This window comes from Homo sapiens, chromosome 13 (genome assembly GCF_000001405.40).
Source record: "Homo sapiens chromosome 13, GRCh38.p14 Primary Assembly".
Classification (NCBI taxonomy): Eukaryota; Metazoa; Chordata; class Mammalia; order Primates; family Hominidae; genus Homo; species Homo sapiens.
The window spans coordinates 100,600,774-100,618,423 of NC_000013.11; the positions used below are offsets into that span (position 1 = coordinate 100,600,774).

Genomic DNA, 17,650 nt, shown 5'->3' on the forward strand with positions numbered 1-17,650 from the left:
ATTTGGGGCCCTATCTTGTTTCTTCTCAAGAACCTTCTCTCTCCAGTTTAAGGCCAGCTTCTCCCTCAGTGGCTTCTGCGCCGAATTTTATTTAGTGCCTCTCATTCCCACACCACCCACCTCCTGCCCATGACTAGTTGATTGACTCCTTATCATTACTCTAAACTGTCCACATTTCTCCAGCCCCACTGCCACCTGGCTGCATAGAGCCACCTTCATTTCGACGCTGACACCTGGGATGGTCTCTTGGCTTCTCTGCTTATATCCTTAGCCTCTCTCCAATTCTCTTCTCACCAGCAGCCAAGTGACCTTGTCAAAACCTCACTAACTTGGATCATGTCACTGACCTGCTTTGGATTCTCCCCCAGTTTAAGTAAGCACCACGTGGTCTGTGAACCCTGTATGAGCTGGCTTATCACCAAGGCCAGCCTTCTCAAGCACCCTCCCCGGCCTCCTCAGACTTCAGCTTTCCCGCAGCAGGGCCTTTGCAGATGCTGTTGCTTCTGTGTGGTCCACGTTTTCTCAACCTTGGGACTACTGATGTTTTAGGCCAGTTGATTTTTGTAGGGGGTTGTCCTGTGAATATTGCATGTACAGCAGCAGCCTCTCTCTCCCCTGTCACTTTCCAATCAGTTTTAACAATCAAAAATATCCCCAGGCCTTGCCAAATGCCCCCCGCCCCCAAGGGTGACATCTCCCCTGGTTGAGAACAGCCAGCCTGGAGTGATCTTCCTCCCCTCTGCCTGTCAATCTCCATCCGGAAGCCACCTTCCCAGGGAGCACTTTCTTGACTCTCCAGGTTAGAGCAGGCCTCCCTCCTCAGCTACTATTCATGTGACTCTTTGATCATTTGTTTTCTCTCACTGGACTGTCCACTGCTGAGGGCAAGAGACCGTGTCCTCTTCCACCCACCTTAGTATTCAGACAGCCTAAGAAAGTATCTGGTACATAGCACTTAGTATGTGTTGAGTGAATGGGGAATAAAGGTATCTAAGGCCGGATCTGTGTACTCCCAACAGAGCCCCTCTTTCAAAAGTCCAAGCTATCACCTATGGAGGGTCTACTGGGCTCCCTACGTTATGGCTATGAGGGATCTTCTTATCACCACCGTACAGATGGGAAACTGGCGCCTGAGCAATGCTCAATGCCTTACGTATCATACTGCAGTGGGAGAGCCCCAGGTCCAAGTCTGGGTTTTCTCACCCCAAAGTCCAGGCTGGTTGGGTGTGAATATGGACATAGATGTCCAGTGCTTTGGTGGAGGGCTCAGTCTTCTGTTCCGATATTTTGTCAATAATTTGAAATAAAATGTGAAGAATGGCCTGGCACAGTGGCTCACGCCTGTAATCCCAGCACTGTGAGACCAGGGCAGGTGGGTCAGTTGAGCCCAGGAGTTCAAGACCAGCCTGGGCAATGTGGCAAAACCCTGTCTCTACAAAAAATATAAAAATTATCCAGGCATGGTGGTGCGTGCCTGTAGTCCCAGCTACTCAGCAGGCCGAGGTGGGAGAATCACTTGAACCCGGGAGGCAGAGGTTGCAGTGAGCCAAGATCACACCACTGCTCTCCAGCCTGGATGACAGAGTGAGACCCTGTCTCAAAAAAAAAAAAAAAAAAGAAAAAGAAAAAGAAAAAAAAAAGGAGAAAGAACATCTGTAAGCAATGTGACAGAATGAGAACCTCAAGGGGTCCTGTCAAGGCCTGTAGGCTACATCTGACAGGATGAACTCGGAGAGAAACAAATGTTAAGCCTGCATTTAAATTTGTAAAAATCCAAACAAGAACAGGGAAGAAGTGCTGCATTTTCACATGTGCTACATATGTTAAACCACCCAACAAACCAACACCCAGCTCCAAGCCTCTTTCCAGATTTGTTGATGTTCGCTATCAAGGAAGAGATGATGAGATTTCTCCAACTTGTGACTTCCCCATGTTTGTTTTGACACCTGCCTCCCAACTGTCATTAGCAATAAAAACATTAAAATAGTAAAAGACTCCAAATAAGAGAAGAACTGCGAGGCGGCCTTCCACTTCAGTCTTGTTTGAAAGGAAACCGAAGAAACAAAGAGGGTGGCTGCCTTAAGATGGAAAAAGAAGAAAAGGGAGCCAGTGTGTTATGCTTCCAAAATCTGCACAGATCAAAGACTTCCTGAAATATCAATCAAATTAATCACTGTGTTCCCTGGAAAGAAAACAGCTACGATGGAAATGCTGGAAGCTGAAGCAGTGAAGGCTGAGGGAATTTGTCGGTAGGCAGGGGTCCAGATTTGCACAACTTGATTTGGCACTAGTTTTAGAATCGGTAGGAAAAAAGAAGGATCCTGAAGGGGCTTTTGTAAGAAACATCATTTTGTGATTACTCTCAATAGACAAGTACTGTTTCAAAAAAAGAAGTTTGCTTTAAAAAAAAAATCAACAAAGCATATAATGCATCTATTGTATGACAAGTGAAGCACTATAGGAACATAAATAAGAGGAAGATGGTCTTAGCCACTAAAGAGAGCTATAAATTACTACTGTTGTTTTGGGACCATTTAAGAAATATTTGAAGGCTGGTTATGGTGGCTTATACCTGTAATCCCAGCACTTTGGGAAGACGAAGTGGGTGAATCACTTGAGGTCAGGAGTTCGAGACCAGCCTGACCAACGTGGTGAAACCCCGTCTCTACTAAAAATACAAAAATTAGCCGGGCATGTTGGTGCACGCCTGTAATCCCAGCTACTCGGGAGGCTGAGGCAGGAGGATCGCTTGAACCTGGGAGGCGGAGGTTGCAGTGAGCTGAGATGGTGCCACTGCACTCCAGCCTGGGAGACAGAGCAAGACTCCATCTCAAAAAAAAAAAAAGAAATATTTTAAACACAGCACTTTATTTCTTGATACATTTCAAACACCAGAAGTTACAATCACTGACTGAAACACTACACAGACCTGCCCCCAACACGTGAGTCCAGAGAATCACATTCCTCTCAGTGTGGATCTACTCGCTCTGTTCTCTGAACTTGGAAAACACTGTAGTGCCATTCTATGAAATGGTCCCCAAGTCACACAGAAGCCACATAAATGATGATTTGGTCAGTTTGATTTCATTTTAAGGTAAAGGAGGATACAAAGTTCACTACTTGAAAATAATTGATTAAGAAGGCAATATGACATTTTCATGCTAGTTTGTGTAGTAATTTTACTGCATAAGAAATTACAGAGATTGCATAAATCATTAGGTCAACAGCATACAGAGAAGAACAAAACAAAACATTGTTTGGATCAAATAAAAAACAGCAGGAACAACTCAATTCTTAAAAATACCACGAATTCCCCGAATGTGGCTCCATTTGATAGAAAATTTTGCATTTTCTGGATAATGTCTGTAGTTACATTAAGCAAAATGGAAAACGGCCTTCAGATAAACACACTAAAAAGCAGCTTACACAGATGTGTTGCCCTCTTCACCTTGGATGTAACAAAAATAAAGATGTGAGGCTGCCTGCTCTTGCCTAAAGCATGGCTTGAACTTTCAATTGATAGTAACCGCTTATGTAAAATATTACATTACATAATCTCCTGTGTATTGAAATTGCACAAGTCAGAGCATCCAAAAACTGCAAGAGTCAATTTCTTCCTATGGGGAAAAGCATATAGATATACTATGTTAAAACTTCCATTCCTCATTCGATTATTTGCCCTATTCAAAACATAAAAATACAAATAAATATTTCCTTACAAAGTTCACAGTATGTTGTTTTAAAAAAAAGAGATAAAAAAACTTAATTTGCTTTGTCATTAAATAAAAATGCTAATATATAGACATGTTCAATATTTATACAAATTGTAGGGGCCAGTGTATCCTTTCTTGGTCATAATTGAAGTTTAATAGTGCTAGTCCATACACGACAAGGCTCAGATCCCAAATGTAAGCTCAATTCTACTAAAAGTTGCTCAAGATAATTTTTTCTCTTTTTCTGTTTAATTAAAAAAGACATTTTTGGAATTTTAGAATTACATTTGAGTTGTCTGAAAAAATACAATTTCAATGAAAAATCATATCACGCATTCAAGAGTATATTGCTGGTGCTATAATCTTTTTGCATGTCTTTGTTTTCATAGAAAAAAATCAGTAAAATAACATGTCTAAGACTTTTAAATGGTTAAATGTAACCACATACTATTAATGATATGCCTCATGCACACACACACTCAAACTCAAAACATGAAGGAAACAGGATCAGACAGCTTTCTTTTGCATTAGTTCTAGCTTTCTTCTCAGCAGACCGTAATTCTCCTTAGTTCCTGATGCCGTGGGGTCAAGCTGCAAGGAGATTTCATAGTGTTTCTTGGCCAAGTCTAGATGTCCCCAACGATGATAAAGCACAGCTGAAATAGCAGGAGATAAATTTCACTGGGAATGCTTCTGAGTAACGTGCCGTATTCCTACCCTCTTGGACAAAGAAATATTACAGATCCTATGCAAACAGTTTTCAAAAGTCAATTGTATGAAACAATATTGTTTGTACTGAAAACTCTATTTATTGTAATCACACTCCCTGATGATTATCCATTTACTGCCAGTTACTCCTAGGGCTCTTCATAGCACTAGATAAGATACATCTGCCTATAGTAACATTATTACATAAAGAAGCAAAAAGAAGAGTACATGCAATGTCTTAGTGCTGCCATGAAATTTCCAGGAAGCAAGGCTGGGTATGGGAGGTGGGGGTGATGGATGCTAGGCACTGCCCAGAGCCCTGACTATGCAGAAGTTCAGCTGTTTATTTTAAATATTTCCTTACACCATTTGGGGAAGTAATAGCTTGTTTGGGTCCATTTAGAAAAAAGGCCTCTGATATCAAGAGCTGACCCTAAAATGATAGTTACAGTAAACCTAATCATTAGGATGATTAGCCTCTGATCATGACAGTGATTTTGTTAGTAAAATTAACTTTCTATATGGGCAGAAGAGCATCTGTGGACGCTTTTTGGCTTTTGTGAAGAGAAGCTTCAGAGTTGGTAGAGAACAGCTTTGGTGAAAAAACATTTCTGTGAGCATTCTAAACATCAACAATGCTATGCTCTAAACATCTTAACTATGGAGACATACAAATGCAAGAAATGAATTCTAGGGAATAAATGATTATAAATGCATTTTAGCCAAGGCATAAGAGGATATAAAGCAGAAGACCAGGCTGGAAGGGGAAGGTCTACTCTGTAAGAAGGAAGGAAAAGGAGGTAAGTTCAATGGCAAGCTTCCAAAGTACCTACGATTAATTTACTAGGAGAACTCTTCGCAACCATAGCCTCATTCTCTTGATCCAATCTCACCCTTCTCAGCTTAACACAAAGAAGGACAATCTGAGTTTCATCATGAGAAGGTAATAGAGTGGGCAAACTTTGGGGCTGTTCTGGTCATGCAATTGAGATTTGTAAGTGTGGCTATCACTTTGCTATCTTTTTAATGCAATAACAGAACCACATTTTAAAGCCAGGCTAGCTTTGAAAAAACTACTCTCCCAACATTAATTTTATAGACATGCACCCACTTCATTAAAGTAACAAAATTTCAACACGATTCAAGTTGAACATTTTTCTTACCCAAATTACCATGGTAACTTGCAGCATTTGGATTTGCTTTAATTGCCTTGAGGAATAAAGCTTCAGATTCCTAAAAAATGAGAAACATAAAAAGGAAGATATTTATTGTACATGAAGCAAAAGCAGTTCCCAGTTTTATCACCTACGGTTTTCAAACTTTTAACCTCCTCCTTTTGTATCAATGCATTCCTCCAGAAACACTCGGAAGGCCCAGCGGGGCCACGCTCTGCCAAAGAGAGGCTGACAAGGAGCAGTGGGAGGGAGTGGTGGCCGCAGAGAGGGGATGAACATGTTCGTGAGTGCCACCACCTGCCTCCCTGCAGTGGTTGGACTTCTGTAATGTTATGCAAGTCGCCCAGGTCAGGGTGCGTGATGACGACAGGAGGCCCAGGGAACAGGAGAAGGCTGAGCCGTGGAGCATACCCATGCCAATGCCATTTCCAGAGCTCTTGGGGTAGCAGTTGAGGCCCATTTCCTCTCCCCCAAGAACCTACAACACTCTGGGCCGCCCAGAAGCAGCCCCATCCATCTGGAAAGAATGTGCAGAAAAGAGGAAGGAATGGCCACCTGTCAACTACATTGTCACAGTACTGCACATGACCATCACCAAATGCCCCTGATGGGTGTGAATTGATTCTTGCACAGCCTTGCATTTCTTCCAAGTCATACTCACTTCCAACCTGGCCCCTAAAAGGCAGGGCAAAGTGTCTTCCTACCCTGATCACTGCTAAAAACTGATGGCTGGCTGGTCCCTTCTACCATAATGCTGAGAAATAAAGACGCCTAACCTGTTTTTATTGACATGTGCCCTGGGGACGCTGTTCACTCCATCCACCTTCGCATTCCTTAAGGGGAGCATGCTTTCATCAGTATCACATGCTGGGCATGGTGGCTCATGCCTGTAATCCCAACACTTTGGGAAGCCAAGGTGGGCAGATCACTTGAAGTCAGGAGTTCGAGACCAGCCTGGCCAACATGGTGAAAACCCGTCTCTACTAAAAATACAAAAATTAGCCGGGTGTGGTAGTACGTGCCTGTAATCCCAGCTACTTGGGAGGCTGAGGCAGGAGAATTGCTCCAATCCAAGAGGAGGAGGTTGCGGTGAGCCGAGACTGCGCCACTGCACTCCAGCCTGGGCAAGAGAGCAAGACTCTGTCTCAAAAAAAAAAAAAAAATCGGTATCACACATTGAGCTTAACCAAACAAATTTGTTGGTGTGGGGATAGTTTTTGTGCCTTCTACCTGGGTCATACATGAATTTTTTCCAGGTGGGCTTCCCATATCTGTGACTGTGCATTTTATAATGTGCAAGACCACCAGTTCCTTTGCCCTGTATGGCCTGTGGTACCCCTGAGAAATTGGCTGAGAATGTGGGGGACCATCTCCAAAACCATGACCTTTCAGACAGAGCTGGCAGAGAAACATTTATATTTTAGAAATGTCATCCAAGAGGGACTTAAGAAAGACATCAGGACAACATACGGGATGTCAGTTCAAAGTCAGTGTAGTGTCTACATTCCGAGTTTCAGGGGCTGAAACTCCTTCCAAGAGGGTCAAGACTCCGGCCATATCAGGAAGGCTGCAGAAAAAAAGTCAAATGGGTTGTGTAGTTTCGCAGTGGTTTCTGAGTCTCTGGGCTGTTTCTGATGATTTTCAAACATTTCCATTTAAAACCTAAAACTTGAGACATAGGAAGGCCAGGGAACCACATCTACTTAAAAATCCTTCCCAACCTGTAAATGAAGTAGTGTTAACTTGAGAGAAATGGCTTAGGGATAAAAAGTTAGGAGTTTTCTAGTGTTGCTAAATTCATTTATTCATTCAGCTAAGTTCTCAGATGCCTGTGAGGACGAACATCATTCAGGACATTGAGGAGTCAGCAATTTGGGGGACACAGTGGTGCTGAAGACAGGGAAGGGCTCAGATCTGACACCTTGTTAGAGGGCCACTGCTGTCAGCAAGGGCTGGACCCAAACTCTGCAGGGTGAGGAGGAGGCCAGTGTGAAGGAACAGGGATGAGGAATAACAGGCAGAGAGCACTGGGCCAGGGGGACAAAGGAGGAAAAATGAGTCAAGATTTCCAAGCCAGGGCAACAAAAACACGACAGCATGTGGACAAAAGAAGGGGTGTCAGGAGGAAGAGATGGTTTGAGAGGAGGTGTGGGTGGGTCGGCCTGGCTCTATCCAAGTCACGGGGGCAGCCCCTGGGCCTGTACCTGGGCCTGGGAGTGGGGTTGGAGGGGCCTCTTTAGAACGCAGCATCTGTGAGTATTCAAAGCCCATGAAATGTTCATCTATTAAATCAGCCTTCTAATGGCCTCATTCAGGAAAGCAGTGAACTGTTTATAAATTGATCTTCTGTGGAGGTCTCTGGATGACTAAAGACCCAGGCAATGAGCCAATTTAATGCCAATGAACCAATAAACTCACATTTAGAGTTGGGGATATTTTTTTTCTGAACAGAAAGGGGAAAAATAAGGTATTATGTTCTGAAGCATATTAGACAAAATGTATTTAACAAAGGTGTAGGACTGAGAAAGCCTTGCAAATTATGTCTCTAGGTAGGAACAAGCGCTAGTCTGTATGTCTAGGCGAGGAAGCCTGGGTGGGCGGAGGTCATTTCAGCCACAGCAGCCACCCAAGAGTGCTCTGGGGCACAGGGGCCACTGTGCCTCCGCTAGAATAGGAAGGGTAACATGGGAGATCTGATGAGAAGTTGAAACCGTGACTCACACAGGAAGAGAGTTATTCTCTATTCTCCCTCCTTCCTTCTGATTGCATTGGGGCTGAAGTCTGCACTTGGTGGTGGTGTGTGGGCCCCACCCTCTAACATACCGGCCAATCTCTCCTTGAAGCTAAGAGAGCTCAGAGCCTTGGCCAGCAATAGTATCTAGCTGGGATTTAGTATGATTATTTCACTTTCAGTTACCCTGTATTTACAGTAATGATGCGTTGTTTCTCCTTTAAATACATTCATGTTAAAAATCTATTTAAATAAAAATGTCAAGTAAATAAGGTAATACCTAGATGTGGCAAAAAAATATCATAAAGGTGTGACATAAATGTCTGGAGCTTAGGAAACTGACTCTATCAACATAACCTGCACTTAAGCTACAGGGCCATTGGAATTAGCACTACAGAAAAAGAAATCAGCACAGGAAGCCATGATTTAAGCACTGAAAAACATTACTTTTGTATTTTTGCTTTACCACATTAGCTTGAAACTGGAAATTAAATGGCAAGAAGTAATATAAATTTTAATACATTTTAATGATCCCTAGAGATTCACTGAATGATTGAATGCTCACTAAATGTATATATATACACACACACACACACACACACCCATACATATATACATATACATATTAACCATTTGATAGTTGCAAATTAAGTTGTTGTGCATTTTTTTGTATCACCTTGTCAAGAGGGTGGGCAGATAACTATCTCCATTTTATAGATGAACAAACTGAGACCCAGAGAGGCTAAGTGACTGCTGTTAGGTTTTAAGAAGGGCTGCTCAGATAGAATAAAAAGGTGCTTAGAGCCACGCAGATATAACGAGAACACTCACTCTGCATATCAACATCTCAAAATAGGTTCTGGAAGCCTGAACGTTTCAGGGCCAAATGAGAGATGCATTTGATCATTTTACAACTACTTAACTGGGTGCTTCGTAACTGCCCGACAGCAATGGAGATACAAAACTGGGACCAAAGACTCGGCTCCAACCTCAAGAAGCCTCCAGGCTCTCTGAGGAGATTTACCAAGTGCATGATAAATAAAACAGCAAGTGCTTGGGTAAAAAGTGAGTTGTCAGGGAGCAGACACCTGCCCTGCCATCAAGATAGCTGGGCTGGAGGGTCTGTTCACCCAGCCCTGCGACTCACCACATCCCCTCTTCTCTGGGACATCCTGCCCAGTGCTCTGCGAGGAAACACGTCCCCTCACTACATCCTGAAACAAGCAGTGCCAGGGATGCAGCTGACCATTAGCAACCGGTATCATTTTTGCATTAGAAGAGGAAAACCTAAACAGTTGCTTAAAATTCAAACCCTTAACTAAAAAAATACATGGAATGCTTGCTTGGTGGCTGATGCCATGGCTCAGGAAGTCACATCATGTCCCCCAACTTGGTAGCTCCTGAAGATCTCATCGTGAGTTCTGTGTTTCAGATTTCACCTTCTGTTTCCTTAAGTTAGGCCCAGTGCTTTGGCCTTGATAATTAAAATGCAAAATGTGTAGAGAAAGAGGAAGCTGATTTCTCCATTCTGCTTTACAGAGTATTTTCTACTTTACTTGGGGGTGGGGGAGGAAGAACAACATGAACTGGAAGCCAAACGAACTCTGGGTTTTATCCCCTTAATAGAAATTCCAGCAGTTTACAGACTGTGGGATGACAGAAAAATCAATACAACGATTATATAAGCCAAGTCTTCAAGAAGACTCGCTGTAGCTGGGTCACTGGAGGAGAACTGAGACTTGGGACCTGTCCCAGGCTGACAGATGGCTGGAAAGGTCATTAGAAGGGAAACCTGTAAACCTCACCTCCTTCCCCTGCTACACAAGTAGATTCATAAAAACTAAAACTAAGCCCTCTTCAAAAAGCTATTTCTGGAGTAAAATCTAGAAATTTAAAAAATGCATAGTGAAGCTATTCAACTCCCCAACATTATAAAACTAGAGATATGCATGAAATTATCTTACCATTGTTATTGAAAATTATACTGATAATGACATGTAATAAACAGAAAAAGAGAAGTGAATAACACTGGACAGATATTAGCTAGTTGCTGCCTTTAGGTCTTATACATAGGCTGAGTGATTGAAATAAGATATAGCCCCTGATTCTGAAATAAAGGTATTTCTCTTAAGAAACGACTAAGGCACTGCTTCTGTGATATCTGTGTTTAACACCCAGGATGCCAGCTAAAAATGCATATTCCAGCTGGGCGTGGTGGCTCATGCCTGTAATCTCAGCACTTTGGGAAGCCGAGGAGGGTGGATCACAAGGTCAGGAGATCAAGACCATCCTGGCTAACACGGTGAAACCCTGTCTCTTCTAAAAATACAAAACATTAGCCGGGCGTGGTGGCGGGCGCCTATAGTCCCAGCCACTCGGGAGGCTGAGGCAGGAGAATGGCGTGAACCCGGGAGGCGGAGCTTGCAGAGAGCCGAGATGGCGCCACTGCACTCCAGCCTGGGCGAAAGAGCGAGACTCCGTCTCAAAAAAAACAAAAAAAATAAAAAAACAACAAAAAAATGCATATTCCCTGACCTGACCTAACCCACGAAGCCAATCCCTTCTGGGGAGAATCTGGGCATCTCTACTTTAACAAGCTTCCTCAGTGATTCTGATAGACAAAATTAAAGTTTACAACCAGTCCCCTTCAACACACAGGGAGTTATGCATAGCCTATTCCTGCTCCACCCTGGCTGCCAACTGGAGCAAAGATTTAGTATCTTGTGGTTTTTGTTGGTCAGAAAACTCTGGGCCTTGCTGGTGGCCTATATAACTCAGATAAAGAAAAACCTGGAAGCAGCAAGAACCAGTCATGCATCCTCCATGGGCTGGTTATTCTTTTGTGCAGAAGATGGAACCTGCAGATAAAACCTAGAGCTCCAGCCCATGTGCAAGTGACAGAGTCAAACCCTGTTGTGCTAGGGTGGGGCTGGGGCAGGGGCACCTCCGGGGATGCACTGTGGCTGCCCTGAGTCCTCCTCCTGCACCAGCCTGCCCGGCCTCTGAGGCCAAACATTCCACAACTCCCTGCCTGCTCCCACCCCTTCCTTGGGCTTCTCTTCCTCTCTCCACGTGTGAACCACAGTGGTTAATTCTGATGAGAAAGGACACTGGGTTTGGCCCCACACCGCTGTCTTTGAAGCAACTTTTCCAGGAAACAAACTGGCCAAGCCACATTGGTGCACCACTGCCACTGTTTTGGCCTGATTCCTAATTTAACTGGGCAGAAGTAACACTTACGTCTTCTGTCAGATGCTGGCACTAACTGCAAGAACTCACAGCCTGCGGTTTACGCACCTTGTATTTCTGGGATTTCCCCAGCACGTTTGCCAACGAGAACATGAGAGAGTGATCATTAGGTATTAATTCCAGTGCCTCTCTTCCAACTGCTTCAGCTTGGGCTAAATTACCTGGGAGTGAAAAATGGAAAAATAAAAGACATGTTAATGTTGTACTCGCATTTTAGCTTCTCTCTATAACTAACAGGGTTTATGTGCACAGCACATGACAATTATGAATAAACTACTTAAGAAAATCTGTGTAGATCATGTAATACACACACACACACACACACACACACACACACACACACACGACGTTATCAGTGGCAAAGCCACTGCAATTCAGCACATTTCTGACACAACACATAAACAGCTTTTGATTAACTTCTGTAAAACCATCTAAAACCTAGTTTTAATTTTTTCCCAGATACCAGTTATACCCAAACAAATCTGCAAAATAAGAGGATGACAGTAACACTTTCATAACTGAGAATTTATCACATTGAAGTATACATTCTATATTTTCCCTAGAAACAACCATATATCTCTGCTCTACACCATGATCAAATTAACACCATCATTAACATATTTTTACTGACACATAACTGTACATATTGATGGGGTGCATGTGATACTTTGATACATGCATACAATGTGTAGTGATCAAATTAAGGTACTTAAGACAACCATCGCCTCAAATATTGATCATTTCTTTACGTTAGGAACATTTCACATCTTCTAGTTCTTGTGAAATATATCATAAAGTGTTAACTACAGTCACCCTACTGTGCAGTGGAACACTAGAACTGACTCCTATCTGTGTTTGTACCCATTAACCAGCCTATCTTTATCCCCGCCCCCTTCCCAGCCCCTAGGAACTACTGTTCTGCTCTCTAGTTCCACGAGGTCCATTTTTCCAGATCCCCCATGAGTGAGAGCATGTGATATTTGCCTTTCTGTGCCTAACACCATCATTTCTTAAAAGACGTTTGGATTTTTAAAGTGAAGGAGGCAGAGTAACTCCTAATTGATTGAATCTGGTCTGCTCAGGGATAGGAAACCAGATCTTCAAGTCGATTAGCATTATATAAAAAGAAAGAATCCATGGCTCCAAGTGTAGACTGAGGGGGCTCCTTTGAGTGAAGTCCCTGAACTTGGGGCATGGACCTAGTACTATCCATGTCATTAGCCCCAAGGCCATTCTTGCTCACTTCTGAGTGCTCCCAACACCCTAGAGGATGGCCAATGGTGGATAACAGGCTTCAGAAGAAACAAGATACTGTCACACCTCTCCCCCATTACTCAACACCAGTTCTAGGTGGAGTGTCATTTTCCCAGACATTCACATTCCAGTATGTCTAAAGAAATTCCTTCCTTCCCTCCCTTCCCTCCCTCCCTCCCTTCCTTCCTGCCTTTCTTCCTGCCTTCCTCCCTCCCTCCCCCTCTCCCCCCTACCCGCCCCCCCCTTTTTTTTTGAGATGGCGTTTCGCTCTTGTTGCCCAGGCTGGAGTGCAATGGCGTGATCTTGGCTCACTGCAACCTCCACCTCCTGGGTTCAAGCGATTCTCCTGCCTCAGCCTCCCAAGTAGCTGGGATTATAGGCATGCGCCACCACACCCGGCTAATTTTGTATTTTTAGTACGGACAGGGTTTCTCCATGTTGGTCAGGCTGGTCTCGAACTCCTGACCTCAGGTGATCTGCCCACCTCGGCCTCCCAAAGCGCTGGGATTACAGGTGTGAGCAACCGTGCCCGGCCTAGAAATTCCATTTTCTAGAGGAATAGACATTTTTGTAATAGAAAATAATTAACTTCACATTAATTTTTTTTTAAACTCAGTAGGAAAAAAGCACAATAATCTCTATTTCCTAAGTCTTCGGTGGCATTTTACTGTGGAGCCATTTCCTGTGATTTGTTCCATCCAGCTTTCTGTACCTGTATTGTCGAGGAGTATAATCATGTTGTTCCAGGCCAGGCTGTGCTCTGGTTTCAGCACGGTGGCATTTCTCCACGCATTCAAGGCATCCACGTGGCGATTGAGATCTGCATACTGAAAATAAAACACACCAAAAAATCAGTATTCCAAGTTTCCTGCTTCCTCTTTCCAAGACATTATTAAAAAAAAAAAAAAAGAAAGAAAAAGCCCAACAAACAACAATAAAAAACCAAAACCTAACTTTAATTATGGAGCTTCTAGTTTTTCATATCAACTCATTTAATCCTCAAAACAATACCAATGAAGTAAATACTATTGTTATCCCCATTTTACAGAGGAAGCAACTAAGGCACGAGGAAATGAACTTGCCCAAAGTTATAGACTAGAAATGGTAAAGCAGGAATAAGAACAAGGTCCGAACCTGTAATGTCCTATTTCCTGTTATTTAGTGATTTTAGGAATCAAATCATATTTCAGACTGCTGAAATACTGAAGAAAGCCTCATCATTAGTCTTTTTCACTAAAGACTTCATAAGTTCATTGTTGATAAAGTATTACTTAGAATAGTGAACAAAGTATTTCTCATGATCAAAAGCTATGTGTCCAATTCACCTTGTGAAGGGTGGTCTCAGGGCCTCTTCCTGCCTGTGTCTAAAGTAAATATAAAAACAGGAGCATATCAGACATACTTTGTAACTCCTTGGAAAAGTCTCCTATGGTAAGGTAAAACCTCTTGGCAATTTTGAGTTTGTTTGCTTCATTTAGGAAGGAGAAAAATACCTGTTGCTTTCTTATTTTTTATAATTTAAACTTTTATTATTATTATTATTTTTATTTTTGAGATAGAGTCTCACACTGTTGCCCGGGCTGGAGTGCAATGGCGCGATCTCGGCTCACTGCAACCTCCACCTCCCGGGTTCATGTGATTCTCCCGCTTCAGCCTTCTGAGTAGCTGGGATTACAGGCGCCCACCACCATGCCCGGCAAATTTTTTCTATTTTGAGTAGAGACGGGGTTTCACCATATTGGCCAGACTGGTCTTGAACTCCTGACCTTGTGATCGATCTGCCTGCCTCAGCCTCCCGAAGTGCTGGGATTACAGGCGTGAGCCACCGCGCCAGGCGTATGTACGTATTTAGAAACAGAGTCTCGCTCTGTTGCCCAGGCTGGAGTGCAGTGGCATGATCTTGGCTCACTGCAACCTCTGCTCACTGCAACGTCTGCCTCCCAAGTTCGAACAATTCTCGTGCCTCAGCCTCCTGAGCAGCTGGGATCACAGACGTGTGTCACCATGCCTGGCTGATTTTTGTACTTTCAGTAGAGATGGGGTTTCACGATGTTGCCCAGGCTGGTCTCAAATTCCTGGCCTCAACTGATCCGCCCACCTTGGCATCCCACAGTGCTGGGATTACAGGCGTGGGCCACCGCACTCGGCCTTCAACTTTTTATTTTAGATTCAGAATGTACATGTGCAGGTTTGTTACATGGGTAAATTGTGTGATGCTGAGGTTTGTGATAGAAATGATCCTGTCATCCAGGTAGTGAGCACAGTACCCAATAGTTAGTGTTTCAACCCTTGTTTGCCTCCCTGCCTCCCCACTCTAGTAGTCTCAAGTGTCTATGATTGCCATCTTTATGTATTAGCGCTCACTTATGAGAACATGTGGCATTTGGTTTTCTGTTCCTGGATTTATTTCCTTAGGATAGTGGCCTCCAGTGGCATCCATGTTGCTGCAAAGGACATGATTTTTTTTTTTTCGTATGGTTGTGTGGTATTCCATGGTGTATATGTACCACATTTTCTTTTTCCAATCTACAGCGGATGGGCACCTAGGTTGATTCCATGTCTTTGCTATTGTGAATAGTGATTGATGAACATATGAATGCATGTTTTGGTTTTTTTTTGAGATGCAGTCTTGCTCTGTCACCCAGGCTGGAGTGCAGTAGCACAATCTCGGCTCACTGCAACCTCCACCTCCCAGGTTCAAGCAATTTTCTGCCTCAGCCTCCCAAGTAGCTGGGATTACAGGCGCCCACCACCATGCCCAGCTAATTTTTGTATTTTTAGTAGAGATGGGCTTTCACCATCTTGGCCAGGCTGGTCTTGAACTCCTGACCTCGTAATCCACCTGCCTCGGACTTCCAAAGTGCTGGGTTTACAGGTGTGAGCCACTGTGCCCGGCCGCATGTGTCTTTTTGGTGGAATGATTTCTTTTGGGTATATAACCAGTCATGAGATTGCTGGGCCAAATGGCAGTTCTAAGTTCTTTGAGAAATCTCTAAACTGCTTTTCACAGTGGATGAACTAATTTATATACAGTGTCTAAGCATTCCTTTTTCTCCCACAGCCTTGCCAGTGACTCTTGTTTTTTCACTTTTTGATAACAGCCACTCTGACTGGTGTGAGATGGTATCTCAATTGTGGTTTTGATTTGCATTTCTCTAATGATTAGTGATGATGAGCATTTTCTCATATGTTTGTTAGCTGCTTGTATGTCTTCTTTTGAGAAGTGTCTGGTCACGCCTTTTGCCCACTTTTTAATGGGGCTGTTTTTTTGCTTGTTGATTTGTTACTTATAGATCTCAATATTAGACCTTTGTTGGATGCATAGTTTATGAATATTTTCTCCCATTCTGTAGGTCGTCTGTTTACTCTCTTGATAGTTTCTACTGCTGTGCAGAAACCCTTTAGTTTAATTAGGTCCCACTTGCCAATTTTCGTTTTTGTTGCAATTGCTTTTGAGGACTTCATCATCAATTCTTTCCCAGGGCTGATGTCTAGAATAGTGTTTCCTAGGTTTTCTTCTAGGATTTTTTTTTTTTTAAAGACAGGGTCTTATTCTGTCGCCCAGGCGGGAGCGCAGTGGTGTGATGTGGTGTGACCAGTGGCTCACTACAGCCTTGACCTCCTGGGATCAAGCGATCCTCCCACCTTGGTCTCCCAGGTAGCTGGGACTACAGGCACATACCACGATGCCCAGCTAATTTTTTTGGATTTTTTGTAGAGATTAAGTTTTGCCATGTTGCCCAGGCTGGCTTCAAACTCCTGGGCTCAAGCCATTTGCCTGCCTTGGCTCCCAAAGTGCTGGGAATACAGGTGTGAGCCACTGAGCTCAGCCTCTTCTAGGATTCTTGTAGTTTGAGGTCTTGCATTTAAATTTTTAATCTATCTTGAGTTAATGTTTGTGTTTTGTGAAAGGTAGGGGTCCAGTTTCACTCTTTTGCGTATGGCTAGCCAGCTATCCCAGCACGATTTATTGCCTAGGGAACCCTTTCCCCATTGCTTTAAAAAAAAATTGGTTAAATTGTTTGAAGACCACATGGCTGTAGATGTGTGGCTTTATTTCTGGGTTCTCTATTCTGTTCCACTCATCTGTGTGTCTGTTTTTGCACCAGTACCATACTGTTTTGGTTACTGTGGCCTTACAGTATAGTTTGAAGTCAGGTAATGTGATGCCTCTGGCTTTGTTCTTTATGCTTAGGACTGCTTTGGCTATTCAGGTTCTTTTTTGGTTCAATATGAATTTAAGAATAGCTTTTTCTAATTCTGTGAAAAATGACATTGGCAGTTTGATAGGAACAGTGTTGAATCTGTAGATTGCTTTGGGCAGTATGGCCATTTTAACAATAATGATTCTTCCAATCCATGGTCAGGAAATGTTTTTCCACTCGTTTGTGTCACCTCTGATTTCTTTCAGCAGTGTTTTGTAGTTCTCCTTGTAGAGATCCTTCACCTCCTTGATTAGCTGAATTCCCAGGTATTTTATCCTTTTTATGGCTCTTGTAAATGGGATTGCATTCTTGGTTTGGCTCTCAGCTTGAATGTGATTGGCATATAGATATGTTTCTTACTTTTGTACACTGACTTTGTATCCTGAAACTTTACTGAAGTTGTTTATGAGTTCCAGGAGCCTTCTGGTAAAGTCTGCAGGGTTTTCTAGGTGTCGAATCACACCGTCCATGAAGAGAGATAGCTTGACTTCTTCTTTTCCTATTTACATGCCTTTTATTTATTTTTCTTGCCCGACTGCTCTGGCTAGGACTTCCAGTACCATGTTGAATAAGAGTGGTGGGAGTGGGCATCCTTGCCTGGTTCCATTTCTCAAG

General features: G+C 43.2%; 1 protein-coding gene across 12 annotated transcripts in view; it reads right to left on the bottom strand.

Annotated features, from left to right (window-relative positions):
* Window positions 2,852-17,650, bottom strand: part of TMTC4 (transmembrane O-mannosyltransferase targeting cadherins 4) — a 71,451-nt gene continuing 56,652 nt past the window's right edge. For 11 of the 12 annotated variants that reach the window (XM_047430706.1, XM_011521122.4, NM_001286453.3 and 8 more), the window contains 4 exons: window positions 13,543-13,657; window positions 11,625-11,737; window positions 5,585-5,654; window positions 2,852-4,369 (listed from right to left, as the gene is read on the bottom strand). In XM_047430706.1, the coding sequence (XP_047286662.1) occupies window positions 4,221-4,369; window positions 5,585-5,654; window positions 11,625-11,737; window positions 13,543-13,657 (447 nt within the window). In that variant the 3' untranslated portion in view covers window positions 2,852-4,220. Of the gene's footprint in view, window positions 4,370-5,584; window positions 5,655-6,618; window positions 6,737-11,624; window positions 11,738-13,542; window positions 13,658-17,650 lie in introns of all 12 variants that reach the window. The other variant, NR_146794.2, reaches the window with a different exon arrangement.